This window comes from Homo sapiens, chromosome 16 (assembly GCF_000001405.40).
Source record: "Homo sapiens chromosome 16, GRCh38.p14 Primary Assembly".
In the NCBI taxonomy this organism is placed as follows: domain Eukaryota; kingdom Metazoa; phylum Chordata; class Mammalia; order Primates; family Hominidae; genus Homo; species Homo sapiens.
Window position 1 is genome coordinate 67,666,814 of NC_000016.10, and position 27,439 is coordinate 67,694,252.

General features: G+C 50.0%; 2 protein-coding genes across 10 annotated transcripts in view, besides 8 other annotated features; one reads left to right on the forward strand and one right to left on the reverse strand.

Annotated features, from left to right (window-relative positions):
* On the forward strand, window positions 1-1,942 carry C16orf86 (chromosome 16 open reading frame 86). Of its 4 annotated transcripts, none has more exons than XM_005255952.6 (4): window positions 1-259; window positions 483-712; window positions 1,065-1,285; window positions 1,360-1,942. In XM_005255952.6, the coding sequence occupies exons 1-4, from the start codon at window positions 158-160 to the stop codon at window positions 1,785-1,787; spliced, it is 981 nt and encodes a 326-aa protein (XP_005256009.1). In that variant the 5' UTR covers window positions 1-157; the 3' UTR covers window positions 1,788-1,942. The 4 variants fall into 4 exon arrangements, with proteins under 4 accessions (XP_005256009.1, NP_001013002.2, XP_047290053.1 ...); NM_001012984.3 differs by having other exon boundaries at window positions 1,387-1,942; XM_047434097.1 differs by having other exon boundaries at window positions 1-1,285.
* Window positions 119-168: a silencer, noted in NCBI's record as "silent region_7620". NCBI's record gives its function as "represses an Ori minimal core promoter by ATAC-STARR-seq in GM12878 lymphoblastoid cells {active_cell/tissue: GM12878}" and the evidence as "EXISTENCE:reporter gene assay evidence [ECO:0000049][PMID:35858748]".
* Window positions 189-238: a silencer, noted in NCBI's record as "silent region_7621". NCBI's record gives its function as "represses an Ori minimal core promoter by ATAC-STARR-seq in GM12878 lymphoblastoid cells {active_cell/tissue: GM12878}" and the evidence as "EXISTENCE:reporter gene assay evidence [ECO:0000049][PMID:35858748]".
* Window positions 319-368: a silencer, noted in NCBI's record as "silent region_7622". NCBI's record gives its function as "represses an Ori minimal core promoter by ATAC-STARR-seq in GM12878 lymphoblastoid cells {active_cell/tissue: GM12878}" and the evidence as "EXISTENCE:reporter gene assay evidence [ECO:0000049][PMID:35858748]".
* Window positions 6,279-6,338: an enhancer, noted in NCBI's record as "active region_10979". NCBI's record gives its function as "activates an Ori minimal core promoter by ATAC-STARR-seq in GM12878 lymphoblastoid cells {active_cell/tissue: GM12878}" and the evidence as "EXISTENCE:reporter gene assay evidence [ECO:0000049][PMID:35858748]".
* The window catches only part of GFOD2 (Gfo/Idh/MocA-like oxidoreductase domain containing 2), a 44,781-nt gene continuing 25,064 nt past the window's right edge, over window positions 7,723-27,439 (reverse strand). For 2 of the 6 annotated variants that reach the window (NM_030819.4, XM_047434723.1), the window contains exons 2-3: window positions 18,644-18,989; window positions 7,723-9,240 (exon numbers count right to left, since the gene is read on the reverse strand). In NM_030819.4, coding sequence (NP_110446.3) covers window positions 8,342-9,240; window positions 18,644-18,902 — 1,158 coding nt within the window. In that variant the 5' untranslated portion in view covers window positions 18,903-18,989 and the 3' untranslated portion in view covers window positions 7,723-8,341. Of the gene's footprint in view, window positions 9,241-10,952; window positions 11,177-13,622; window positions 18,990-25,275; window positions 25,723-27,439 lie in introns of those variants that run through there. The other 4 variants (XM_047434724.1, XM_006721288.5, NR_027398.2 and 1 more) reach the window with 4 other exon arrangements.
* Window positions 10,253-11,209: an enhancer, noted in NCBI's record as "NANOG-H3K27ac-H3K4me1 hESC enhancer chr16:67710969-67711925 (GRCh37/hg19 assembly coordinates)". NCBI's record gives its function as "activates a minimal SCP1, AML or CMV promoter by ChIP-STARR-seq in naive H9 embryonic stem cells {active_cell/tissue: H9 hESC(naive)}" and the evidence as "EXISTENCE:reporter gene assay evidence [ECO:0000049][PMID:30033119]".
* Window positions 11,210-12,165: an enhancer, noted in NCBI's record as "NANOG-H3K27ac-H3K4me1 hESC enhancer chr16:67711926-67712881 (GRCh37/hg19 assembly coordinates)". NCBI's record gives its function as "activates a minimal SCP1, AML or CMV promoter by ChIP-STARR-seq in naive and primed H9 embryonic stem cells {active_cell/tissue: H9 hESC(naive and primed)}" and the evidence as "EXISTENCE:reporter gene assay evidence [ECO:0000049][PMID:30033119]".
* Window positions 16,703-17,902: an enhancer, noted in NCBI's record as "CDK7 strongly-dependent group 2 enhancer chr16:67717419-67718618 (GRCh37/hg19 assembly coordinates)". NCBI's record gives its function as "activates an origin of replication core promoter dependent on BRD2, BRD4, P300/CBP, MED14 and CDK7 cofactors, with strong dependence on CDK7, by STARR-seq in HCT116 cells {active_cell/tissue: HCT116}" and the evidence as "EXISTENCE:reporter gene assay evidence [ECO:0000049][PMID:35650434]".
* Window positions 18,949-19,008: an enhancer, noted in NCBI's record as "active region_10980". NCBI's record gives its function as "activates an Ori minimal core promoter by ATAC-STARR-seq in GM12878 lymphoblastoid cells {active_cell/tissue: GM12878}" and the evidence as "EXISTENCE:reporter gene assay evidence [ECO:0000049][PMID:35858748]".

Sequence of the window (27,439 nt, forward strand, 5' to 3'; positions counted from 1 at the left end):
GTAGTTTCGGCCGAGGGTGGGCTCCGCGGTCGCCGGTTTCTCTTCCCAGCTCTGCCCTCGCTTGCTGGCCGGTCTCCGGGGTCAGCGCGGGGCCACCATCCAGCCCCTTGGGGCCCGCCCCAAGCAGCTGTCGAGGACGCACTCAGCCTGCGCAGCCATGGCCTCGGCAGGGGCGGAGAGGCGGCCGGGGGTCCAGGAGGCGACGGTCGTGGGGCAGGGACAGCTCACGGAGGAGCCCGGCAGCGCTCAGACCTCCGAGGTGACCGTCAGGCTGTTTAACCTTCAAACACAGGGCCGCAGCGCTCTGAGAGGTGGAACTGAGCGCCCCGACCCGCTAACTGCCAGGCTGGGCCCTCCAGGCGGGGAGGGGCACAGGCTGGTGTCCTTATTCCCGTTTCGGTGTCTAACGTTAGGTGTTCAGTGACGGATCCCTATGTCCTTTGCCCGGCCATGGTGACCGATGGCCTGTGTGTCATCTCTAGTGTCCAGTGGCGGGAGACCAGTTCCTGGTGCCTGCCCATGAGGCCCGCGGAACCCAGAGTGAAGACCAGCGCCCAGCAGGCGCAGCTTCGGAGTCGGAGCTCCAGGAGGAAGGACCCAAGCTGGGGGAGGAGCGGCCCAAGCCGCATGCCGGGGCGCTAGAGGAGAGAGGCCCCAGGCCCGTGGTCTCCATTGTGAGGCCCCGTCATGGTCCAAAGAGAAAGCCTGTCAAGTGAGGGGGCTCTCGGGGGGAAGGAGCTGCAGCCCCGGGGTTGGGGCACACACCACAGTAGGATTCCTAAATCCTGCACTCCTGCAGGGAGGATTCTCGTCCCCAGCCACTACCATCACTCTCCTCCCGTTCCTCAAGAGCCCCCGTGTAGGGAGCAGCAGGAGAGTGGGAGCTTCAGGGCTTGTAGGGGCCTGGGCTCACTGGCCTCTAAGCCTCTTGGGCCTGGGGTCTCATTGACCAGGAACGGGACAGGCGTCGAGCCCTGGGGCTGTGGGCAGGCTGGGCTATTCCCTGGGCCAGGGAATGGGAGCCAGGGCTGGAGCCTGGCTCAAGTCTCTTGTCCCTGGCTCAGGTCTCTCAGCCTCCCGGGCCTTCGTGCCCATCTTAAGGCTGAAGCTGAGCTGCCACCCAAGCTGCCGCTGCAGGAGGAGGAGCCAGAGGACAGCCAGAGTGAGCCCTCACCATCTGCCAAACAGCACAAAAAAGCCAAGAAGCGCAAGAGCCTGGGGGCTCCCGTGCTCCACGCTGTGGCCAGCATGGTGTCTGCACCCTTAGAGACATTGAGGCTGGAGCGTGAGTGGCAGTCCCTGGACTGTTCCTTCTCCCCCTGCCTGTGGGGCCCGACATGGCACAACCTGGCGCTCTAGCCTCTGCCCTGCCCTGGGTCTTTGCAGGAAAGGCCCAGCGCCTGCGGCCGCTGTACCAGTACGTCAACTATTGCAACCCTGAGCTGAACCAGGCAGGGAAGGGGGACGGGGAGGCTGAGGTGGAGGCAGAGGCAGAGCTGGCCCCGGTTCCCGAGGAGGGAGGTGTGGAGCAACTGCAGGCCTTGCTGCCCTTGGCAGGTGAGCTGGGCCCAGGCCTCGCTTTGCCCTGTCCCAGTCCACTAGTGACCCCCACCCATGCCCTGGCTCCCCTCGGAGAGGAGGCTGGAGAGGAGCCTGGGGGCTTGCCCAGCTTGGGGGTGAGTGACCACAAGGCCGAGGTGGATAAGTCAACCCAGGTGGACATCGACAAGATGCTGAGTGTCTGCACTGCTCCACTTGTCCCCCCGCTCTCTCCTCAGTACAAGTGACTGTCCCGCCCCACTGGTGGCTCCCCTCCTTCCACGCCTGAATTTGGCTTCAGGCTTCCTGTGGGCCTAGGCCCTCTGGTGGCGGGGGCAAATTTGGCACCTGCCCCCACTTGGGACTTTGGTCTTGCTGAAAATAAATATTTTTCTTTTTCAAAGACTTTGTGATTCCCCAGATAGGTTGCCTGAAATGGGTAAGAGGATGGAGGACTCAACAGTGCAGGGTTTGAGGCCTGAATGGTCATCTGCATCACCTGAGACTTTGACAATGACAGATTCCTTTGTGCCACCCCATGCCTCACTGAATCAGGGTGGACCTGGTGCTGTGTGTTTAGGTGAATCTGAGGGTCAGGCAGCTAACTGGGTGATGAAGAGGGAAGTGAGAAGGAGGAACTTGGGGCAGAGAAAAGAAAGGGTCTGTTGGGTCATGGGAAGCAGGTGTTTGGCCCTGCTCTTCTGTCTCCTGGGGAAGGGCCTGCATTTGGTCTCACCTTGAGGGGATCAAAACTTGGGATCCTCCTAGGAGGTAGCACAGAGTTCTTTTGCCTGTCACAACAGTGACAGCTTTGGGATGTTTCCTACTCATTGCCAGACCATAGCTGGACCGGACCTTGTCTGTGGAGTAGCCTCTGGTCACAGGTGACAGGGCATCAGTGATGTTTTCCTGGCAGGCAGGGGTGGACAGGGGCAGTAAGTGCATCTGGGACCCTGAGGCCAAGCCACTGGATGACAGCTGTGTCCAACCGGCAAGGATCTCTGGGAAGAGCCAGCCAGTGTTGGCCATTTTGGAAACTGCACATCCTGGGCCTCCTGTGTGTTCCTTGGACACCACAAACAGACACAGGGAATTTTAAGTTCATGGAAATTTCCCCTTCCTCCAACTGGCTTTTCCTCCTGTATCTCATCTGCACAATTGTTTAAGCTAGAATCTTGGGTGTCACCCCAGACCCCATCCTGTTCTTTGCTCCCTGATTCCTACAAGCTAAGCAGACATTGAGGCCAGTGATCCTACCCTTTCAGGCTGAGAACCTCTCGGACCCCACAGTCAGCACCGTCGCCTGGACCACTGTCATCTCCAGGTGACAGCCTCACTGGTCACCCTGCCTGTCATCCCTTGGCCCACGGATCCATCCAGTGGCCCTGTGACACACACACCTGAGCCCCTGATGGTGTCACTCCCCCTTGGGATTCCCCTCCTCTTGCCCCAGCTACCTTAGAATTCAGTGGCTTCCGGTAATTCCCTGAGCAGTTACACCTTTTCCTCCCTTCACTCTGTGCATGTGGGGCTTTCTCTGCCTAAAATGCCTTTATTCCCACCTCTCCCCCTGGCTAGTGCACGCACACCTTTGAAAACTTGGGATTCTGCTTCCTGGGGAGCCAGACAGCACCCCATGTTGCCCTGCATTGCAGCCCCTGCGCATTGCTATCATGTGGGTTATAACTGTCATCGGGATTAGACCGTGAGCTCCCTAAGGGCACATCTCATTGCATCACATCGACCTAGCCAGAGGGCCCCTTAAAAGGCACCAAGGTGATGAGACTGAAGTGAGGGGTGGAGGAAGCTGCAGAGAGGGACAGGCCAGAATCTGAAATGCTGAGGCCATCCCGAGGCCACAGTCTAATATGTAGGTTCCCTGGAATATGGCCTGGCAAGGTCACTGGAGGGAGTAGGGTGGGCAGGTTCAGGTGGGAAAAGCAGGGTCCCCTTTCTGGCATCATCCCAGCCTGCTCCCTCCTTTGACAGGGTCACTTGGGTGCTCACTGGCCCCATGACAAGCCATGGGGGTCAGGACTTTTTTTTTTCTTTGAGACAGCATCTCGCTCTGTTGCCCAGGCTGGAGTGCAGTGGCACAATCTTGGCTCACTGCAACCTCTGCCTCCCGGACTCAAGGATTACAAATGTGAGCCACCGTGCCCGGCCAAAAATTTTTTTTGTGGAGATAGGGTCTGTGTTGCTCAGCTTGGTCTCAAACTCCTGACCTCAAGCAATCCTCCCTCCTTGACCCCCCAAAGTGCTAGGATTACAGGCATGAGCCAAAACACCCAGCCAAGATAATTGAGCTTAACCTCCTTGCTTTATGTTTGGGATGGCAGAGGCCTGGAGAGAAGTGGCCTTGCATGAGACCACACCCTGGGATCTAGGAATCCCTGTCTTGAGTTGTGCAGGATCTGCCGACCTGGGGGCTCTCTGGCTAAGGCCGGACCCAAGAAGGCCTCTGTATCTTTGTGCGGTCTCCAGGGCTGGAAGCGTGAACGAGGCCAGCACTGATAAGGAAGAGCTGGTCCTGTCTTCTCACAGGTGAGGCAGGAATTAGAAATCGTGGGAGAACTAGTCTGCAATTCCTGAGGCCTATTACCCAATGGACTTGTCTAAGCAGGGTGGGTAGTAGGAGCTGCAGAAAGGACCAAGTCCCTACTGCTCCTAGAAGCTCGCTGTAAAGAGGAAATGCTACATTATTTAGGGAGACGTGTAGCTGGGCGTGGTGGTCTGTGTCTGTAGTCCCAGATATTTGGGAGGCTGAAGCAGGAGGATCGCTTGAGCCCGGGAGTTCAAGACCAGCCTGGGCAACATTTTTCCCTGTCTCAAGAAGTAAAAATGATGCAGCCATAAAAAAAAGAATGAAATCGCGTCCTTTGCAGCAACATGGAAACGGCTGAGACCATTATCCTAAGAAATTAACACAGGAACAGGAAAGCAAATAGCACACGTTCTCACAAGTGGGAGCTACACATTGGGTACACATGGACACAAACATGGGAAACACAAACATGAGACTATGAGAGGGGGCAGAGAGGGGGTGGGGTGATTGTTGAAAAAACCTATTTACTATGTTCACTACCTGGGTGATGAGACCAATCGTCCCCCAAACCTCAGCGTCACACAGTATACCCATGTAACAAACTTGCACATGTACCCCCCGAATGTAAAATAAAAGTTGAAATTATATATTCAAAACAAGTGGCCAGGTGCAGTGGTTCATGCCTGTAATCCTAGCACCTTGGGAGGCTGAGGGGGGCACGGATCACTTAGGCCAGAAGTTCAAGACCAGCCTGGACTATGTGGTGAAACCCCGCCTCTACTAAAAATACAAAAATTAGGCTGGGGGCGGTGGCTCATGCCTATAATCCCAGCACTTTGGGAGGCCGAGGTGGGTGGATCACGAGGTCAGGAGTTCGAAACCAGCCAGCCTGGCCAACATGGTGAAACCCTATCTCTACTAAAAATACAAAAAAATTAGCTGGGCACTGGTGGCATGTGCCTGTAATCCCAGCTACCTGGGAGGCTGAGGCAGGGGAATTGCTTGAACCAGGGAGGTGGAGGTTGCAGTGAGCTGAGATTGCGCCACTCCATTCCAGCCTAGGCAACGAGAGCAAAACTCCATCTCAAAAAGAAACAAACAAACAAAATTAGCCAGGTGTGGTGGTGGGCGCCTGCAGTCCCAGCTACTTGGGAGGCTGAGGCAAGAGAATTGCTTGAACCGGGGAGGTGGAGGTGGCTGTGAACCAAGGTGACGACACTGCACTCCGGCCTGGGTGACAGAGTGAGACTCTGTCAAGAAAAGAAATAAATAAAGAAAGGAGGGAGGGAAGGAAGGGAGGGAGGGAGGGAGGGAAAGAGAAAAAAGAGAGAAAAAAAGGAAAAGAAAGAAAGAAGACAAGAAAAGAAAAAAGAAAAGAAAAGGAGAGGGAGAGAGGGAGGGAGGGAGGGATGGAGGGACATGCAACCTCAGCTCAACTGAGGACCAAGGCTGTGGAACCACAGGTTGGGAGGTGGCTACTTTGCTGAAGTCAGAAGTGGTGACCGGGCAGTCCTCCAGCTGACTCCTGAGAGAGAGAGGTGGTGCCTTCCAGGCAGAGGACATGCCAGGGACAAAGCCCTGCTAGTATGGAAGCTGCCACCTCTGCAGGAGGGCTCTTAGTGTGGCTGGAGAGGAGGGCATGGCCATATGGAAACCAGGTTGGTCAAGTCCGGGGGTGAGGAGGAAGGGTGTGGATAGGGAGGGATCTTGGCGTGACATTCAGGAGAGGCTGCTTGGCCAGCAGGGTGATGGGCAGAACAGGAAAGGAAGTGGCTGCCATCGTCTAGGTGAAAACAGTCCTGGATTTGGCTGGAGGTTGAAGAATAAGCGACAGGTATTTGGGAAGTTCTCTTCTGGTTGCTGTATCTGACGAGCCAAGCTAACTGCATTTTTACTGTCCTGGAAAAACTTTATTTTGACCTGAGGAAGAGCTGGTAACATCCTGAGATTTGGAAACAGGTCCTGGGAGATGCTACTGCCTTCTTCCAGGAGGGGGTGCTGCCGGACAAGTCTAGAACCAGTGTGGGTTCAGTCACCCATGGAGACCAGAACCCTGTGGGCTCCCTTGGCCACAGGCATCTGGGCACATCTGTCTTCCCCATCCCCAGTGTGGGACTGACCAGCTCTGATGCCCAGGATAACTCGATGGTAAAGACGTCTGAGGGAAGGGGCCATGCACCACTCTGGCCGTGAATCTAGGCTCTGGGGATTCCCTCAGAGGAACCGGGGTCCTCATTAAAGCAGCTCTGCATTCAGCCCACTGCAGTACCCTCCCCCCAGCACATTCTGGGAACCCGAGTGCCATTCTGGGTTGGCCACATGGCCCTTTCTTATGTGGGAGCATCTAAGTCAGGCTTGTGCTTTCCTGGTCAATTCCCACATTTCAGAGTGACCTCGACATCCTAGCAACACATGGGAGGACTGAGCTGAGCTAACTGTCCCAGGGACAAGGGGGCAGCCTCCCCTTTAACCTTCGGTGTCCTGCCTGGTGGTGGGTGCTATCTGCATTTCACCTCCTAGTTCAGGCCAGGCCGAGGCTCCTGCCACAGGGAGGGGCAATGCCGGGCCCTCAGGTCTGAAGATTCCCAAATGCTGGGAGGAAGCGTGGTTCAAGGTCAGGCTCTGTGGTTAGATGGTCCTGACCAGGCTCCTGGCTCCATCATGTACAATCTACAGGAGGCAAGTAGCTTTGCCCTCTGTGCCTCCATTTTATGATCTGAATGATGAGAATATTTACCGTCAGAGAGTGGTTTGGAGGTTAAGGGAAATAATAACATACACGTTTGCCCTGAGGGTCAGCATGCAGTAGGCACACTCCAACCCTATCCCTTGTTATTCCCTCTCACAAGGACATCTGAATCCAGGAAATTACAGGAAAACAAGCCTGGTGACGTCTAGAAGCGGTGCCAAGAGGAAGAGGAAGCCCTCCCTGGGCTTTTCTGGCAAGGAGCCCAGGGCAGGGAAGAGGGCGGAAGGTTAGAGAAGGGAACAGAACTTGGTCCAGGCTGAACGATCCTGGCAGGCTGGTCAAACAAGCAAAGGGGAACGCATGTCTTTTCTCAACACCGTGCCCCCCCGCCCCCACCCCCCGCCGCCTCTGGCAGAGCTGGGTAGAAGGCTGGCCCTGTGCAGAGCACAGTCAAGAGCATGGTGGGTGATTGGCCCTCGGGTCCAGCCACAGCTGCTCCATGGGGCACGCCTGGAGCTCTTCCTCCTCCTCCTCACCCTGTGCCACCTCCCTGAAACCACTCCTCCCCGCCACCTCAAGAGCACTCTGGCAGCCAACACCGTGACATTAAGAACAGAACCCCTCCTAACCTCCACCCCAGTGAGGCCCCAAACTCTCCCGCTATCTGCTGAGACGGCAGGCCCAGCAGCAGCCCATTAGGAAGTCCTGAGTCCTGTTCTCTGAGGAAATCTTTTCTTCTGAGGCTCCTGGGATTTGGCTATGAGGGAACAGGCAGGAGACGAGGGCTGGCAGGGGCAGCGGCCCGTGTGGCACAGTTGGCGGTGATGACCCACGCTGGCTCCGAGCTGCTGTGGAGCAATGAGTAGAGAAAAACCCCCTACCAGCCAGAAACAAGCCTTTCAGTATTAAAGAAACCCAACCTACCAAACAAAAACCACATGCCATGTCCTATTTTCTGAATTATTTATTAACATTTCTCAGATGTTCTAAAGCCCTCCCTTGCCTCCTCTCTGCCAAACCAGGGCCCTCTGTCCTACTTCAAAAGCCCAAGAGCTCACTTAATAAAGCAAGCCCCAGTCCCCACCTGGGAAGGGCCTGGTCACATGGGAGGGCAGGTGAGGGTCCCTGAGGGACAGCTTGTTGCCCTCACTGTTCCTGAGATGCCCCAGCCCAAGAACGAAACAAAACTTCTCATCATTTCTCCTCAGGCCTCAGCCGAGCTGGCCCCTCTTGTGCTTTCTCACCCTGTTAGGACTGCGGATCAGGCTGAAGGGCTCCCCAGGGTGAGCCTTTCCTGGTCCGACTCACTGGCATCACCATGAGGAGGCCTGGCGGCAGCTCTGCCCTGTGCACACCGTGGTAACCTGGCAACAGGAACATTTGCCACCCTGCAAGTCTGAGGAGCAGATGAGCCACTGGAGGGGGCGAAGTCCCAGAGCCACCTCTGGCTTCACCCAGACTCATTAAATGAAAGACACTGTCTCTGCTAGGGCCAAGTCCCTGTCATGTCTGGCTCCTGTTCCCCTCCCTGGTCCCTCTGCCCTGTGGCAAGGAGCCCAGGTGCAGGCTCATAGGTTGTTCCGCTGAAGTGCCTCACACAGGTTCTGGTTGGTGTCGGGCTCCTCCGTCAGCACCTCCACAGCCTCCCACTCCCCGGATCGGCTCGACCTCTTGATGGCATCCACCACGCTCTGCATGTACAGCCCATCCTCGAAGGAGGCGGCCATGGAGACAGGGGTGCGGTCCCAGGTGCGGCGGTCGCCCTGCCCCTGGAAGGACTGGCGCAAGGCCTGCACCATGTAGACCATGCCCTTCAGGTACAGCAGCGGGACATCCTGGGGCCCCTGCTCAGGCAGTCCTGCGCCCACTGCCAGCGAGTCCCTCAAGAGCAGCTCCTCTTGCGTGGCAGAGTTCTTCTGCCCATAGAGGTCGGCTCCCCGGGCGACGAGGCGTCCTGCAGAGCCTACCACCATGACTTCATGCACAAAGGCGCCTGGCATGTTGAAGTTGAGTGTCACTGTGCTACACACACCCCCACCCATGAGCATCTGGAAGAAACAGAAGTCATCGCTAGTGACGTGCCGGATGCCACGGATGGCAGCGTTCTGCCTCACGAATGTCTTGAGCAGCCCGTGCACCTTCTCGGCTCTCCGGCCGGTCAGGTGGGTCAGCAGGTCCACAATGTAGGTCCCCATGGTGTGCAAGCCCCCGCCGCCCATGAGCTCATCACAGATCCAGCCATAGCTGGGGCTCAGCAGGCTGCCTGAGTAGATGCGGGCATCACAGATCATCACCGCTCCCACATAGTGTTCCGAAATCAGCTGTTTCATGCGCACGAAGGCAGGCAGGAAGCGCAGCACGTTCCCTACCAGGCTCATGAGCTGCGGGTAGTAGCGCGAGGCTGTCACCATCCGGAAGGCATCCACCGATGTTGCTGCCTTCTCGCAAACCACATTCTTCCCAATACCTAACAACAGGACACAACAGGAAATCTCAAAGTTTCAAGGGGGAATCTCCAGCATGTCCGCCTGCCCTGAGGATTTTGGACTTCTCTGCCTTACAACTGCACGAACTAATTTTTTTTTCTTTTTTGTAGAGGTGGGGTCTTGCTATGCTGCCCAGGCTAGTCTCAATCTCCTGGCCTCAAGCGATCCTCCATCTTGGCCTCCTAAGTGGGACCACAGGTGTGTACCACCACGCCTGGCTAATTTAAAATTTTTTTTTTGTAGAGATGGGGTCCTCCTCTGTTGCCTAGGCAGGGCCCAAGTGATCCTCCTGCCTTGGCCTCCCAAAGTGCTGAGATTACAGGTGTGAGCCACCATGCCTGGCCCCAATTTCTTCAAATAAATCTCTGTCTTAAACACCCTATTGGTTCTGTTTCTCTGGAGAACCCTGAATAACACAGGTGGGCTAGAGAGGTGGGCACACTTCATGGACGTGTCTCTATGTTGTCATGCATTTATTAGGTCATCAGCTTGGGGCAAGGAAATCTAACCTATTTTCTAGGGGATGGACTATTCATAACTTCTACTCTTAGTCATAACTCCAGAGAGGGCCCTAAGATTCCCTGCAGATTGTTCTCTGAAAACACTGGTCCAACAAGTTAGAGTGGCCCAAGGCTAGAACATGTTTGGCTCCGGCAGGAAGGGAAGGAAGTGAGAATACCCTTTTTGCCCTCACACCCATTCTGGGTACGCTGCAGCCAACACGCACCCAGAGGTAAACAAAGCTGGACAAAGCCCTGAGGAGAGTGCTAGAGGATAAGCAGCTGGGAACTGAAGGGATGAATGCTGCTCCATGTTTCAAGATGAAAGCTTGTGAGGATATGAGCAGCCATGAGACACTAACACCTGCAGTGTTCCTGCGAGCTTTGTGTGGTTCAAGTCGAAGGAAATCCTGTGCTAATACTTTAAATAGAAAACTTAGAAAGCCCAAAAAGCAGTATGGACTAGACACATACAGAAGTTTACAAGTCATAGTAAGCCAGAAAGGGTAAAGACACCCTGGCAAAAACCCACGAAAAAGCTCTCCAATGTGCAATAGCTTCTCGGAATAAAAGCCAAAGTCCTTACAAAGGCCCCACCCATAAGGTCTTGATACATGATCTGTGCACTCCTCCAAAATTTTCTTTTTAAAAAAATATTGAGATAGAGTCTCACTCTTGCCCAGGCTGGAGTGCAGTCGCATGATCTCGGATCACTGCAACTTCCGCCTCCTGGGTTCAAGCGGTTCTCCTGCTACAGCCTCCTGAGTAGCTGGGATTACAGGTGCCCACCACCACGCCCGGCTAACTTTTGTATTTTTAGTGGAGACAGGGTTTCACCATGTTGGCCAGGCTGGTCTCCAACTCCTGACCTCAGGTGATCCACCCGCCTTGGCCTCCCAAAGTGCTGGGATTAAGGCATGAGCTGCCATGCCTGACCACTCCAAAATTATCTTTTTGACTCTTTGCCTCCTGTGGTCTCTCGGTTGCTCATCCTGCTCTAGCCACTGAATGTGAGATGGGGGCTGCTGTGCAGAAGGACTTGGGGATTGGGGAGAGGCAATGATCACGAAATGCTGAAGGACTGAGAAGGCAGGGGTGGGTTAGGAAACGAGACTGAAAGCATTACACAGAGCCTACATGCAATGTGGAAAACTGGATACCAAGTCTTGGGCTGGACTAATTCATGTGCTTACCCTTCTAGTTGAAGCCCATCTGGGCAATGTGTGCACCTGGGCTTCTCCTCCACAGCCATCCAGGCTCCACTCTGGCACTCCACAGGTACTTCCTGGTTGGAGGGGCAGCCTTAGGCCTGGATGCCTGTGACCTGGGGCAACCGGTCACAAGAATGTGCCTTCTCCAGGTATGTGCATCTTCAGTAACCATGGTGCTCATCTTCCCTCAGGCCCCCAAACATTTTCTGAATGTTTTCAGATGAGGTAATGGTTAAGACACAGATTATTTCTGATGGCTCACTGCAGGGTGCAGCTTACCCTGATGGACCAAGATGGATTCTGTTCACACAGGCTCAGGAGGGGCCAGCTTACAGCAGAAACAATAGTAACTACAGACAATAAATCTTGCAACAAAAACTAAGAAAACTTCATAGAGATGGCCAATGTCTTGGCTGGGCATGGTGGCTCACGCCTATAATCCCAGCACTTTGGGAGGCCAAGGTGGGTGGATCACCTGAGGTTGGGAGTTTGAGACCAGCCTAACTAGCAGGAAGAAACCCCGTCTCTACTAAAAATACAAAATTCGCTGGGCGTGGTGGCACATGCCTGTAATCCCAGCTACTCGGGAGGCTGAGGCAGGAAAATCACTTGAACCCGGGAGGTGGAGGTTGCGGTGAGCCAAGATTGCGCCATTGCACGCCAGCTTTGGCGACGAGAGTGAAACTCTGTCTCAAAAAAAAAAAAAAAAAAGAAAAAGAAAAAGAAATGGCCGATGTCCCACATGATGGATGGGCCCCAGGACAACTGACTACCCAGGAAGAGTCAATTACTGGTGCTGGACTCAAGCTTTGGAGCCAGAAATTCCTGTGCTCAAATCTTGGCTCTCTCACTTCACTGCTAGATGATCTGGGAAGTTTCTAAACTTCCCTGGGTTTTTGTTTACTACTATAACTGTAAAGCAGGATTTTACAGTTACAGGGGAAGAAAGGAGGACTAAGGCAACCAAAGCAGTATATGTAAAGTACCTGGCTCAGTACAGCTCTGTCAACAGTACATTTTATTACCATCGCCAAGGGAGGGATTCAGCCAATGTCGTAAATACAGAGAAAAAAAGCCCATTGTGACTTGGATTTTAAGACTTGGCTGGGCGTGGTGGCTCACGCTTATAATCCCAGCACTTTGGGAGGCCAAGGTGGGAGGATCACTTGAGTTCAGGAGTTCAAAATCAGCCTGGGCAACATAGCAAGACCTAGTATTTATTAAAAATAAAAAATAAGCCAGGCGTGGTGGCGTGTACCTGTAGCCCCAGCTACTTGGGAGACTGAGGTAGGACGATCCCTTGAGTCCAGGAGATTGGGGCTGCAGTTTGCTGCGATCAAGCCACTGCGCTCCAGCATGGGTGACAGAATGAGACTTTGTCTCAAATAAATAAATAAATAAAAGACTCACATAGAAACTACATTTTCCAGGTAAATAATTTCTTTTTTTTTTCTTTTTTTTTTTTTGAGACAGAGTTTTGCTCTTGTCGCCCAGGCTGGAGTGCAATGGTACGATCTCAGCTCACTGCAACCTCTGCCTCCTGGGTTCAAGTGACTTTCCTGCCTCAGCCTCCTGAGCTAGCTGGGATTACAGGAGCCTGCCACCATGCCCAGCTAAGTTTTTTGTATTTTTAGTAGAGATGGGGTTTCACTATGTTGGCCAGGCTGGTCTTGAACTCCTGACCTCAGGTGGTCCACCCACTTTGGCCTCCCGAAGTGCTGGGGCGTGAGCCACCGCGTCGGCCCCAGGTAAATAATTTCTATGTTCTGTACTTTGAAAATCTGATTTAGTTTCTTCTTCCTTTTTTTAAGAGACGGGGTCTTGGCCGGGCGCAGTGGCTCAGGCCTGTAATCCCAGCACTTTGGGAGGCCGAGGCGGGTGGATCACGAGGTCAGGGGTTCGAGACCACCCTGACCAACATGATGAAACCCTATCTCTACTAAAAATACAAGAATTAGCTGGGCGGGGTGGCAGGCGCCTGTAATCCCAGCTACTCAGGAGGCTGAGGCAGGAGAATTGCTTGAACCCCGGAGGCGGAGGTTGCAGTGAGCTGAGATAGTGCCATTGCCCTCCAGCCTGGGCGACAGAGCGAGACTTCGTCTCAAAAAAAAAAAAACAACAACAACAACAAAAAAAAACAGGGTCTTGCTTTGTCACTTAGCTGGAGTGCAGTAGCGGGATTCTGGTTCACTGCAGTCTTGGTCTGAGCTCAAACAGAGCCTTCCTCCCAGCTTTCCAAGTAGCAAGGACCATAGATGAGTGACAGCACGCCCAGCTGATTTTTAAACTTTTTGTAAATACAGGGTCTTGCTACATTGCCCAGGCTGGTCTCAAACTCCTGGCCTCAGGTGATCCTCCTGCCTTGGCCTCCCAAAGTGCCAGGATAACAGTCATGAGCCACCATGCCCAACCCATGTTGATTTTATAATGTCTTTTTAGAAAATCTAATTTTCAGGCTGGGTGAGGTGGCTCACAGGTGTGGCAGTGCACAGCTGTAGTCCCAGATACACAAGAGGCTAGGGTGGAAGAATCACTTGAGTCCAGGAGTTAGAGGCTGCGGTGAGCTATGATCAAGCCACTGTACTCCAGCGTGGATGACACAGCAAGACTCTGTCTCAAAAAATAAATAAAATCAAAACGAATACAGAGGAGTTGTTTTATCATACGTACTGTTTATTAGGCCTCTCCGAGAGTCAGGCCCAGCCTGGCCCCCTGGTAGCTCACATACTGACCAAGCCCACAGGAGACAAATTGGTGCCTCTGGTCAACCCTTCCCCCTCCTCTCACTTCCTACCCCCACCTCTGCCACCTTGACCCTGAAGAACCCCACAGAGCATCTGTCATTTGTACTTATGGGCATCTTACGTAGGTCTAAACTCCCAGGATTACAAACCTCAGTGCTGCAGCAAGGAACAAGGCATGTGGATTGGTAGTCTATGACATCATTCAATCTCTTCAATTTATTTATTTATTTTTTTAATACATATTTTGTTATTATACTTTAAGTTCTAGGGTACATGTGCACAACGTGCAGGTTTGTTACATATGTATACATGTGCCGTGTTGGTGTGAATCTCTTCAATTTATGACACTTCAATCTCCTGCTCTTCTTTAATAAAAGAAGCTTTACAACAGGTACTAGCAGGACAATAAAGAACAGCCAGCCAAGTGTCACATACCTGGGATAGGGTGGCCAGGCCCTTGCACGGGGCCCGGCAGGGAGAGTAGCCCCTGACTGCTAGCACTACTGCTTCTGGAGGGTCTCCAGTGCTTCTCCACACTTGTGGGCCTTCCAGATTAGGGAAGACAATCACAGTTCTGGGGGTGAATTTTGCCATTTGGCTGCTGAACACATATGGCTGACCAGGGAGGGATGTAATGAGGAAATGAGGTTCTCAGACACCCCACCTGAGAGCTGCTGTTCTGGCCAATTCAGAAGCCTCCTGCTATAATGCCTCGCTGCTGGCGACAGAGTGGATACTGCAGTGTGAGGCAGAGAGGAGGTGGGTTTAGAGGAAAAAGGACTTTTATGACTGCTAGGAGTTTGGTGGTGATAAAACTAGGATAAGGAATTCCTGTTTCATGCCTCAAGAGGTGAGGAAAGAGGGAAAGACCTCTCTTCTTGAATCTGAAAAATAGTCTGTTTTTGTTTTTTTAGATGGGGACTCGCTTTGTTACCCAGTGGTATAATCTTGGCTCATTGCAACCTCCGCTTCCTGGGCTCAAGCTAACCTCCCACCTCAGCCTCCCAAGTAGCTGGGACCACAGGTGCACGCCACTGTGCCCAGCTAATTTTTTGTATTTTTGGTAGAGATGGGATTTCATCATGTTGCTCAGGCTGGTATTTAACTCCTGAGTTCAAGCGATCTGCCCACCTTGGCCTCCCAAAGTGCTGGATTAGAGGTGTGAGGCACTGAGCCCAACCCTGAATAACAGCACTCTTAAACTTAGGGCTCAGTAGTATCAGTGTGGGACTGCAAGGACATCTTGACTTAAACAGGCTCCTGAGGGCTAGCTGTACAGAGTCTTTGGGTAGCCATGAAAGACATGTCTACCTGAGTTTATCTAGCTCTCCTGCCAGGAAGTCAAGGGAGAGATTGGAGAAGCTGAAATCTGCTGGGCACAGTGGCTCCCACCTATAATTCCAGCACTTTGGGGGGCCAAAGTAGGATGATTGCCTGAGGTTAGGAGTTCGAAACCAGCTTGAACAACACAGCAAGATCCTGTCTCTACAAAAATGTTTTCTTTTTACTTTTCTTTTCTTTTTTTTTTGAGATGGAGTCTCGCTCTGTCACCCAGACTGGAGTGCAGTGGCGTGATCTCGGCTCACTGCAACCTCCATCTCCTGGGTTCAAGCAATTCTCCTGCCTCAGCCTCCTGAGTAGCTGGGACTATAGGCACGTGCCAACACGCCCAGCTAATTTTTGTGTTTTTAGTATAGACGAGGTTTCACCAGGTTGGTCAGGCTGGTCTCAAACTCCTGACCTTGTGATCCGCCCGCCTCGGCCTCCCAAAGTGCTGGGATTACATGCATGAGCCACCAAGCCTGGCCTGCAAACTTAGTGTTTTTCTAATGAACCACAGAAGTGCCAAGAATTGGGCACAGAAGCCCACCTTTTAGTGACAGACTTAAGAAAACATTCAACTGTGGCAAAGATGCTAGGGGCACCTTGCACTTAAAATATAATTTCCTGAACCACTTCTGAACTGAAGAATAAAATATATTAGGGCCCTTCCCCTCTCCCCTTTAAGAAATTCATGGGAAAGCTTTAAGGATGAAATCGGAGGTAGAAGATGAAGAACATAGGTCAGACCAAAGCAGAAAACAAGATGCCATAAAAAGAGCTGTGATATGAAAAGTATTATCTCTGGAAGGTTAAGTCCAATCATTAATTTTAGGAAAAACTAATAATGAGGGCAAGAAATGATCTCGTGGCCTTAGAAGTAAGGTAAAAATATAAAGCTCTAGCAAGGAGAGAAAAATCACAGCACGAAGACTTGGTGAAATGTAACCAAGATGTCATTCCTTAATGCTCCTGGGCCTCAGTTTAATTCAAAATGATTGGATCAGTGGCTCTCAATCCTTCATGTCCACCAGAGTCACCTGCAAGGCTTGTTCAGACACAGATAGCTGGATCCCAGAGATTCAGTAGGTTTGGAGTGGGGCCTGAGAATTTAGATTTCTTTTTGTTTGTTTGCTTTTGAGACAGTCTTACTCTGTCACTCAAGCTGGAGTGCATGATCACTGCTCACTGCAGCCTCTATCTCCTGGGCTCAAGCGATCCTTCTGCCTCAGCCTCCCAAGTAGCTGGGACCACAGTCGCGTGCCACCATGCCTGGCTAATTTTTAAACTTTTTTGTAGAGACGGGATCCCACTATGTTGCCCAGCTGAGAATTCAGTTTCTAACAAGCTCCCAGGTGATGCTGCTGCTGGTGGAGCATACCAAGAACCAGAAAAAAAGCAAGCTTGTTGCCAAAGAACCCTGGGGTTTCCTCTTTCTTCCCGTATAGCTTGGAAATGGTCTCTGTGGGGAACCCTAAAATTCAGGAAGAAGACTGAGAGCCTCCAGAGTTCTGGCTCCGGACACACCTCACCTTTCCAGCCTGCATTCAAGCCACAAGGGATGGCAAGGAGTCAAGTGACCAATAGCGGCTTGCTTCCCCTTGAACCAACTTGCTGCTAAAGTGTTGACTTAGGTCTATTTCTGAATTCAATCTGGGAGCCACCATCTGACCTCCCAAGCATTTGGTGACCAATGAATGAATAACTCCAATGTCACACATCCTCAGAGAGAGCTCTCTGGAAGAAACAAACAATAAGGCCAAAACTTACTTGCTCCAAATTGACAACCGGACAGACTGAAGTTCTTTCTCACTTCAAAGAACATTTATCCTTCCCTACCCACTGAGCCAGAGGTGACAGACACCTTCCTATGACATTCCTCAGAATGAGGGAGGAGATAAGTAGCAGACCCTGAGGTTTGCCACCATGGCAGTGGTCAGGAAGAGTGGAGGACAACCTCATGGCACCGGTTCCTCGACCTAGAGATCTTCGGCTGCATCAAGGAGACACTTGGCTCCTATTACCTCACATAAAACAGTTACTCAGTCAAGTAAGTATGTGCTAGTTGAATTGTGACTATGTCTTCTGTCATCTACCTTGTAATGTGTGTTATTTCTAGTTGCCTCAATTGGACTATAAAATCTGAAGACAGGGAGGGGTCCAATCTAACACAGCTTTGAATGTCCAAAATGACATCAGGACAGTGACTGGCACACAGGAGGCATTAAAAAAATAATTGAGGCTGGGTGTGGTGGCTCCTGCCTGTAATCCCAGCACTTTGGGAGGCGGCCAAGGCAGGTGGATCACCTGAGGTCAGGAGCCCGAGACCAGCCTGGCCAACATAACAAAACCCCATCTGTACTAAAAAGACAAAAATTAGCTGGGCGTGGTGGCACATGCCTGTAGTCCTGGCTACTTGCAAAGCCGAGGCAGGAGTATCGCTTGAACCTGGGAGGTGGAGGTTGCAGTGAGCTGAGATTGCACCAATGCACACTCCAGCCTGGGCAACAGAGTGAGACTCCATCTAAAAAAATAAAATAAAATAATAATAATAATTTTAAAAAAATGCTGGGCATGGTGGCTCACACCTGTAATCCCAGCACTTTGGGAGGCCGAGGCGGATGGATCACCTGAGGTCAGGAGTTCGAGACCAGCCTGGCCAATGTGGTGAAACCCTGTCTCTACTAAAAATACAAAAATTAGCTGGGTGTGGTGGCAGGCACCTGTAATCCCAGCTACTTGGGAGGCTGAGGCAGGAGAATCACTTGAACCTGGGAGGCGAAGGTTGCAGTGAGCCGGGATTGCGCCATTGAACTCCAGCCTGGGCAACAAGAGGGAAACTCTGTCTCAAAATAAAATAAAAATTGCTGGCTGAATGTTTACTGGTTTGTTTACTTAGTAAACTAGGTTCTGATTTATATTAGATAAAGAGAAGAAGTTGACTCCAGTTGACTGGAAATAGAAGACCAACGGGAACTGTAGGAGAACAGCTCAGCAGGCCATGCCCAGTCAGGGGCAAGAGGTTACCAAGCCCAAAACTTCCCAAGGGAGTGGAGATGTCATGTAAGCAGGCTGTCGACGGATCCTGTCAGGGAAGCCCAATGCTGGCAGAGCCTTCCTGTCCTCCGGCAATACAAGACTGCAGTTTGGCAGGAAGGGTGTGTGCTCACTATAGTCAAACGCTGACAAAACATGGGAAATGGTAGCCTTGCTACACAGCCTCTCCTTCCTGTGGTGCTGTGTGCCCCAGAAATGGGAGAACAAACACACTAGTCACAACCAATTCCCCGCCACCCAGGGCTCTGACCTCTAACTTCACAGAGGCAAACTTTATGTTGACTGAGATGCAACCATCTCCAGCCCCTTGATGGCTGTCTCTTAGAGTATTTCCTTAATTTCTGTTCAGGGATTTACAGATGGGAGGTAGGTTAGGCTATGTCTTTTTTCATGCCCTCCCCAAGCACTGCTTCAGGGACAAGTGATGTCCCAGAGTTCTCCTCCCTGCAGATGCGAGCCCAGGAAGGAGAGCTCAGAGGAGAGGAGTGACCCTCAGAGGACTGCCCAGAGGGAGAGACATGATCTGCCCCTGCTGTGGCCTGCCGGGCGTACCTAGAGCCTTCACGGATATCTGCCGGGTGAGTGGAGGGGGGATGCTGATGCACACCAGATCCACATCTTGATGCAGCAAGATGTCATCAGTCCGGCTGGTGTAGAAGGCGATGTTCATCTCCTCAGCAAGCTGCTTCGCCTCCTCCTCAGTCTTCCCCCACAGGGCCTCAACAGTGAACCCTTCTGCCCTCAGCAGTGGGACCAGAACTCGGGCGGAGCTGCCAGTCCCAAACACGCCCACTCCTGGCAGCATCTTCATCCCAGCCTCTCTCTTTACCAACTCATCTCCTCACAAGAGCCTCTGGCATGGATATGATCTTCCAAACGTCCTGGTCAGACATGGCTCCTAGAATAGCAAACATTACACTGGTTATTACTGGAGAGGACACTCAGCTGAGGCTACTTTCTTTTTTTTTTGAGATGGAGTCTCGCTCTGTTGCCCAAGCTGGAGTGCAGTGGTGCGAAGGCTACTTTCAAATAAGGAAGTAACAAGTTCTCTGCCAGAAAAGCACAAATGAAATAGGGCTCGAGGCCAGGCATGGTGGCTCATGCATGCCTGTAACCCCAGCATTTCAGGAGGCCGAGGTGGGAAGATCACTTGAGGCCAGGAGTTTGAGAGTAGCCTGGGCAACACGGCGAGATGTCATCTCTATTAAAAAATATATATATTAAAAAATAGCCAGATGTGGTGGCATGCGCTTGTTGTAGTCCTAGCTACCTGGGAGGCTGAGGTGAAAGGATCACATGAACCTAGGAGTTCACAACTATAGTAAGCTATGATTGTGCTACTGCACTCCAGCCTGGGCAACAGTGCAAGACCTTGTCTCAAAAGAAAAAAGAAATACTGTTCCAAGATGAAACACTGCAGAATCTTCTTCTTCCATGGAGACTGAAGGATAAGAGGAAAAACGGAAAATGAATAAAGTTGAGTTTAAATCTCTGTTCTGCTACTTAACTTTCTGTGTAACCCTGGTCAAAAGATTCAACTTTCAGGGCCTTAAATGTATAATAAGGGGAGTGATTGATCTTTAAGGTTCCTTCTTGCTATAAAAGTTCATGATTCTATATATGACAAAGAAAAGAAGAGTGGAGGCCAGGCACAGTGGCTCACACCTGTAATCCCAGCACTTTGGGAGGCCAAGGCGGGCGGATCACCTGAGGTAAGGAGTTCAAAACCAGCCGGGTCAACATGGCCAAACCCCATCTCTGCTAAAAATACAAAAAAAAAAACTAGCCAGGTGTGGTGGCAGATGCCTGTAATCCCAGCTCTTCAGGAAGCTGAGGAAGGAGAATCATTTGAACCCAGGAGGCAGAGATTGCAGTGAGCCAAGATCACACCACTGCACTCCAGCCTGGGCGACAAGAGTGAGACTCTATCCAAAAAAGAAAGAAAGAAAGAAAGACTGGAGGCCGGGCGTGGTGGCTCATGCCTGTAATCTCAGCACTTTGGGAGGCTGACGTGGGTGGATCGCTTGAGGTCAGGAGTTCGAGACCAGCCTGGCCAACGTGGTGAAACCCCGTCTCTACCAAAAATATAAAAAGTTAGCCAGGTGTGGTGGTGCAAGCCTGTATTCTCAGCTACTCGAGGGGCTGAGGCAGGAGAATCACTTGAACCTGGGAGGTGAAAGTTGCAGTGATCTGAGATTGTGCCACTGCACTCCAGCGTGTGTGACAGAATGAGACTCCGTCACAAAAAAAAAAAAAAAAGAAAAGAAAAAGAAGAATGGAAAACAAAAACCAGTTCAAGAGGAAAGTGAAAGAACTAATTGCTATACAGATTAAGTATAATTAAAATTTTCATGGTAGCAAACATAGGAAAATGCTCACTAGAAAAAAAAATACCAAAAAACTTTTTTCATCAAACTGGCTAAAAGAAAAAGTATGCTTAAAGAGATTTTATTAGGCCGGGTGCGGTGGCTCATGCCTGTAATCCCAGCACTTTGGGAGGCCGAGGCGGGCGGATCACGAGGTCAGGAGATAGAGACCATCCTCACTAACACAGTGAAACCCTGTCTCTACTAAAAAATACAAAAAATTAGCCAGTTGTGGTGGTGGGTGCCTGTAGTCCCAGCTACTCGGGAGGCTGAGGCAGGAGAATGGCGTGAACCCAGGAGGCGGAGCCTGCAGTGAGGTGAGATCGCGCCAATGCACTCCAGCCTGGGCGACAGAGCAAGACTCCGTCTCAAAAAAAAAAAAAAAAAAGAAAAAAAGAAAAAAAAAAGATTTTATTAGGCTGGGTGTGGTGGCTCATGTCTGCAATCTCAGCAATTTGGGGGGCCAAAGCAGGAGGATTGCTTGAGATCAACAATTCAAGATCAGCACAAGCAACTTAGTGAGACACCCATCTTTACTAAAAAAAAAAAAAAAAAAAAATTAGCCTGGCATGGTGGCACATGCCTATAGTCCCAGCTATTTGGGAGGCTGAGGTAGAAGGATCGCTTGAGCCCAGGAGTCAAGACTGCAGTGAGCTATGACAGTGCCACTGCACTCTAGCCTGGGCAATAGAGTGAGACTGTCTCAAGAAAGGAAAAAAGGTTTTTTTGTATACAGATATTTACTATAGCATTGGCTATCATAGTGAAAAACTGGGAGACAATCTAGATGTCCAATACAAGTAATGGGTTAGATAAAGAATGCTGTGGAGTTACTGAAAACCATGAAGTAGAAGGCCCTCAATAACCTGAAAGACATTCACCACATTGTCACTGAAAGGGAAAAACACACACTATCAGAAGTATGGGGTTTTTTTTAAAAAAAGCACACAAAAGAAGTATAATAGGTATGAGTATATATATAAGGATATCTGTAATATATCTATAAAATATCTCTATTCAATGCTGTAGAAGGACTAGAATACTCCTGAATTTATTGATTGCTGAGGTTGATGGGATTATGAATGATTTTTATTGTTTCTTTTCAATTTTTGAACTTTGCCAAATTTTCTGAGACATGATTCTGTCTTATTCATTGTAGAGTTTTTCTTCTGATCACAAGGGTTATACAATAAAGAACAAAACCAAACAAAAGTCCTTTGCTTGGGATCAATGTCGTGGGAAAACCAAGATGAGATGTAGGTGTGCTCAGAATATCAGGGTTCCCCATCCAACATTTCCCCCAGCTAAACCAGCAGTTCCCCACTCCATATTAGCATCACTGGTAACCCTAGACCCACTGAAACAGACAAGAGTGATGTGGGCCACATCACCGTCATTTTCTTTTTCTCTTTTTAAACTTTAATGTTATTTTAAAAATTGTAGTACAATATACATAAAATTTACTTTTTTTTTTTTTTTTTTGAGACGGAGTCTCGCTCTGTCGCCCAGGCTGGAGTGCAGTGGCATGGTCTTGGCTCACTGCAAGCTCCGCCTCCCGGGTTCACGCCATTCTCCCGCCTCAGCCTCCCAAGTAGCTGGGACTACAGACGCCCCCCCACCATGCCCAGCTAATTTTTTTTTTGTATTTTTAGTAGAGACGGGGTTTCACCGTGTTAGCCAGGATGGTCTCGATCTCCTGACCTTGTGATCTGCCTGCCTCAGCCTCCCGAAGTGCTGGGATTACAGGCGTGAGCCACCGAGCCTGACCTACTTTTTGTTTTTTTTTTTAAAGACAGTCTCACTCTGTTGCCCAGGCTGGAGTGCAGTGGCGCAATCTCAGCTTACTGCAACCTCCCCCTCCTGGTTTCGAGCGATTCTCCTGCCTCAGCCACATGATAGCTGGGATTACAGGTGTGTGTCATCACCCCTGGCTAATTTTTGTATTTTTGGTAGTGATGAGGTTTCGCCATGTTGACCAGGCTGGTCTCGAACTCCTGAGCTCAAGCGACCTACCCACCTTGGCCTCCCAAAGTGCTGGGATTACAGGCGTGAGCCACCACGCCCAGACCATCTTAACTATTTTTAAGTATATACATCAGTGGTATTAAATACATTTACAGCTGGGCGTGGTGGCTCATGCCTGTAATCCCAGCACTTTGGGAAGCCAAGGTGGGTGGATCACCTGAGGTGAGGAGTTTGAGACCAGCCTGACCAACATCGTGAAACCCCATCTCTACTAAAAATACAAAAATTAGCCGGGCGTGGTGGCATGTGCCTGTAATTCCAGCTACTCGGGAGGTGGAGACAGGAGAATTGCTGGAACCCGGGAGGCGGAGGTTGCAGTGAGCTGAGATCAAGCCACTGCACTCCAGCCTGGGCGACAGAGCAAGACTGTCTCAAATAAAATAAAATAAATAGGTAAATAAATAAATAAATACATTTACATTGTTGTGTAACCATCACCACCACCCTGGTGGATGGTTACTTCTGGAACTCTTTTCACCTTGCAAAACTAAAAACTCATTAAATAATACCCATTATTCCCATTAAATAATAACTTCCCATTCCCACTACCCCCGCCCCAGCCCCTGGCAACCATCATTCTACTTTGTCTCTATGAATTTGACTACTTTAGATACCTCATCTAAGTGAAATCATGCGTTATTTGTGCTTTTGTGACTAGCTTATTTTGGCTAGCATAATGTCTTCAAGGTTCACCCTTACAAACCTTGTAGCATATGTCAGGACTTCCTTCCTTTTCAAGGTTGAGTAATATGCCATTGTATGGCTGATCCATTCCTCTATCAATGGACACCTGGGTTGCTTCCATGTTTTAGCTACTGTGAATAATACTGATATGAACATGGTGTACAAATATCTCTTCTAGACTCTGCTTTCATTTGTTTGGGGCATATACCCAGAAGTGGAATTGCCGGGTCATGGTAATTAGATTTTTAATTTTCTGAGGAACCACCATACTGTTTTCCACAGTGGCTGTACCATTTTACATTTCCTCCAACAGCGTGCAAGACTTCTGATTTCTCCACGTCCTCACCAACCCTTGTTATTTTCTGGTGTTTTTTGTTGGTTAGCCGTTCTGATGGATGTGAGGTGACCATTATTCACTATTTTTTTTTTTTTTTTGAGACAGAGTCTTGTTCTGTCACCCAGGCTGGAGTGGAGTGGCACTGGTCTTGAACTCCCGACTTCAAGTGATCTGCCTGCCTCGGCTGCCCAAAGTGCTGGGATTACAGGCATGAGCCACCATGCCTGGCTTCATCATTCACTTTTATCGTTCACTTTTAAAGCCCCCCAGGTGATCCTAGTGTGCAGCCACCAGCTGAGAACCTCTGAACTATGTTTAACGCATGTGAAAAATTATCTACATTTGGAGTCATAACAAAATGTCCTGTTTGTTATATGTACACTTTCCTGAACCTTCTCACCCTCTGTATTATGATTAAAAGGACAAATCTGTCATTAAGAGGGAAAAATCTCTAACACAACTATTTTAACTTCTATGTATTACCTTTGGTAACATCATTTTACCAATAATTTTATAAACACCATACGGTCCCTTTGTTTACCAATTATTTATTGATTCTTTTTTGAAATGGAGTCTCACTCTGTCATCCAGGCTGGAGTGCAGTGGCACAATCTCAGCTCACTGCAACCTCCGCCTCTTGGGTTCAACCGATTCTCATGCCTTAGCCTCCCGAGTAACTGGGACTACAGGCATGTGTCATCATGCCCAGCTAATTTTTATATTTTTTAGTAGAGATGGGGTTTCACCATGTTGGCCAGGCTGGTCTTAAACTCCTGACCTCAGGTGATCCGTCTGCCTTAGCCTCCCAAAGTGCTGGGATCACAGGTGTGAGCCACTGTGCCTGGCCTACCAATTACCTTTAAAAAGCTAACTACTCCTGATCTTGGTCACTATCATAATTTTTATTTTGAGACAGATTCTTGCTCTGTTGCCCAGGCTGGAGTGCAATGGCTTGATCATGGCTCACTGCAGCCTCAACCTCACAGGCTCAAGGGATCCTCCCACCTCAGCCTCCTGAGTAGCTGGGATTACAGGTGCACACCACTGTGCCTGGCTAATTTTTGCATTTTTTGTAGAGACAGGGTTTCACTATGTCACCCAGGCTGGTCTCGAACTCCTGGCCTCAACTGATCTGCCCATCCTGGCCTCCCAAAGCGCTAGGATTACAGAAGCAAGTCACACTGTGCCTAGACCCCCCCCCAAAAAAAAAAAAATTAAGACTCTGCGGCAGGTCCCTCTGCATAGCACAGCTTCTGCTTTCTTTGAGATGACCAACTCCTGGAACTCCTCTCTACCCTACATCTTCCCTCCTCTGTAAATCTTTTCTGACTGTACCCCCCCAGGAGCTCCTCCCTCTGCACCTTCTATATACTTGCAATAGGAACTAAACTTACTCCTCTTTTGTGTCCTCAGGCCCACAAACACAGCAGGCCCTCCACTGATTAGTGAATGAATAAATTAATGAACTCACTGTGCTCAGTAAAGTGTTTTCTGGATGCGCCTACTCACTGGTGTCACCAGCTTCTCATGGCCACATTCGTCCATGAAACACCAAAGTTACCCTCTGAAAACATACTGGAGGTTCTATCCTCACGTGCTACTGATAGTGATACAGAATCGTACAGCTGTTCTGAATAACAAGTAATCTGGCCTTATATATAATTAAAACTATGCATTTTGTGACTCACAAATTCTACTCGTGTGTGTGTGTATGTGTGTTCCCAAAGAAATTCTCATAGGGATGCACTGATAAGGGATACAAAGATATTTACCACATCATGTCTGAGGTGCAGAGTTGGAGACAATCTGGGGATCAGAAGTGGGCAGGTAAAGTGTGGGGGATATACCCACTGGGGTTCTCTGCAAGTTAGAAACAATACTAGATGAATACAGTCACATGAATGAACTTGGTAAAAAAAAAAAAAAAAAGAAAACATAGCGAGCTCTAATACATTATTTATATAAACTAAAAATACACACACAGGCTGAGTGCGGTGGCTCACGCCTGTAATTCCAGCATTTTGGGAGGCAGAGGTGGGCGGATCACCTGAGATCAGTTCACGACCAGCCTGATCAACATGGCAAAACCCCATCTATACTAAAAAATAAAAAAATTAGCTGGATGTGATTGTGCACGCCTGTAGTCCCAGCTACTCAGGAGGCTGAGGCAGGAGAATCGTTTGAACCCAGGAAGCAGAGGTTGCAGTGAGCTGAGATAATGCCACTGCACTCCAGCTTGGGTGACAGAGCAAGACTCTGTCTCAAACAAAACAAAACAAAACAAAAACCCACACACATGCACAGAAACAAAAATGCTTCATAGGAAATTATACAAATGAAAGGATACATACTAAATACATTTACAGGGGATAGGGAAACCAGAGTAGAGAAAGGGGATAAAGGGGAATAATTTAAAAAAAAAAAAAAAGGCCGGGCACGGTGGCTCATGCCTGTAATCTCAGCTCTTTGGGAGGCTGAGGAGGGCGAATCACGAGGTCAGGAGATTGAGACCATCCTGGCTAACATGGTAAAACCCCGTCTCTACTAAAAATACAAAAACAAAATTATCCAGGCGTGATGGTGGGCACCTGCAGTCCCAGCTACTCGGGAGGCTGAGGCGGGAGAATGGCGTGAACCCAGGAGGCAGAGCTTGCAGTGAGCCGAGATTGCGCCACTGCACTCCAGCCTGGGCGACAGATTGAGACTCTGTCTCAAAAACAAAAACAAAAAAAAAAGGAAAATGTGGTTCTAAAAGGAATCCTTTCTCACTTTTTAAATAAAAAGCTTGCATTTCAAACACAAAGTGACAGATATATGTACCTCTGGTCCTACTAATGGGACACCATCACAAGCTCCCTGATCTAGCCAAATCCAGGGAGTAGCACTGCATCTGCATATTTAGCCAGGACCACTTATAATTCAGACAAAGAACCTTATTTCAAATTAGCCACCACACCTGGCTTTTTGGGTTTTTTTTTTTTTGACACAGTCTCACTCTGTCACCCAGGCTGGAGTCCAGTGGTGCCATCTCGACTCACTGCAACCTCCGCCTCCTGGGTTCAAGTAAGTGGCTGGGACTATAGGTGCGTGTCATCACGCCCTGCTAATCATACCTGGCTAATTTTTTGTGTTTTTTGTAGAGACAGGGTTCCATCATGTTGCCCAAGCTGGTCTCAAACTCCTGGGCTCAAGCAATCCTCCTGCCTTGGCCTCCCAAATTGCTGGGATTACAGGCATGAGCCATGGTCCCTGGCTAGAATCTTTTTTGGGAAGTGGAAAAATGTACATTACAGAATGTACCATTTTAAACCATTTTTAGGTGTACAGTTCAGTGCACTAATACATTCGTATTGTGCAACCATCACCAACATCCACCTCCAGGACTTCATCATCATTCCATACTGAAACTCTGTACCCAGCCAAAATTAACCATTTTAAAGTGAACAATTCAGTGGCCGCTGGGTGCAATGCCTCATGCCTGTAATCCCAGCACTTTGGGAGGCTGAGGTGGGAGGATTACTTGTGCCCAGGAGTTTCAGGCTATAGTGGGTTATGATCATGCCATTGCACTCCAGCCTGGGTGACAGAGCAACAGAAAGACTCTGTCTCAAAAACAAAAAACAAACAAACAAACAAAAAAACCAACCCCCATAATCCAGTGGCATTTAGGACATACTTTTTTTTTTTTAAGACAGAGTCTTGCTCTATCACCCAGGCTGGAATGCAGTGGTGCAATCTTGGCTCACTGCAACTTCCACCTCCCGAGCTCTGAGGCTGAGGCGATTCTCCTGCCTCAGCCTCCTGACTGGCTGGGATTACAGGCACACGCCATCACACCTGGCTAATTTTTTTGTATTTTTAGTAGAGACAGGGTTTCACCATGTTCGCCAGGCTGGTCTCAAACTCCTGACCTCAGGTGATCCGCTCGCCTGGGCC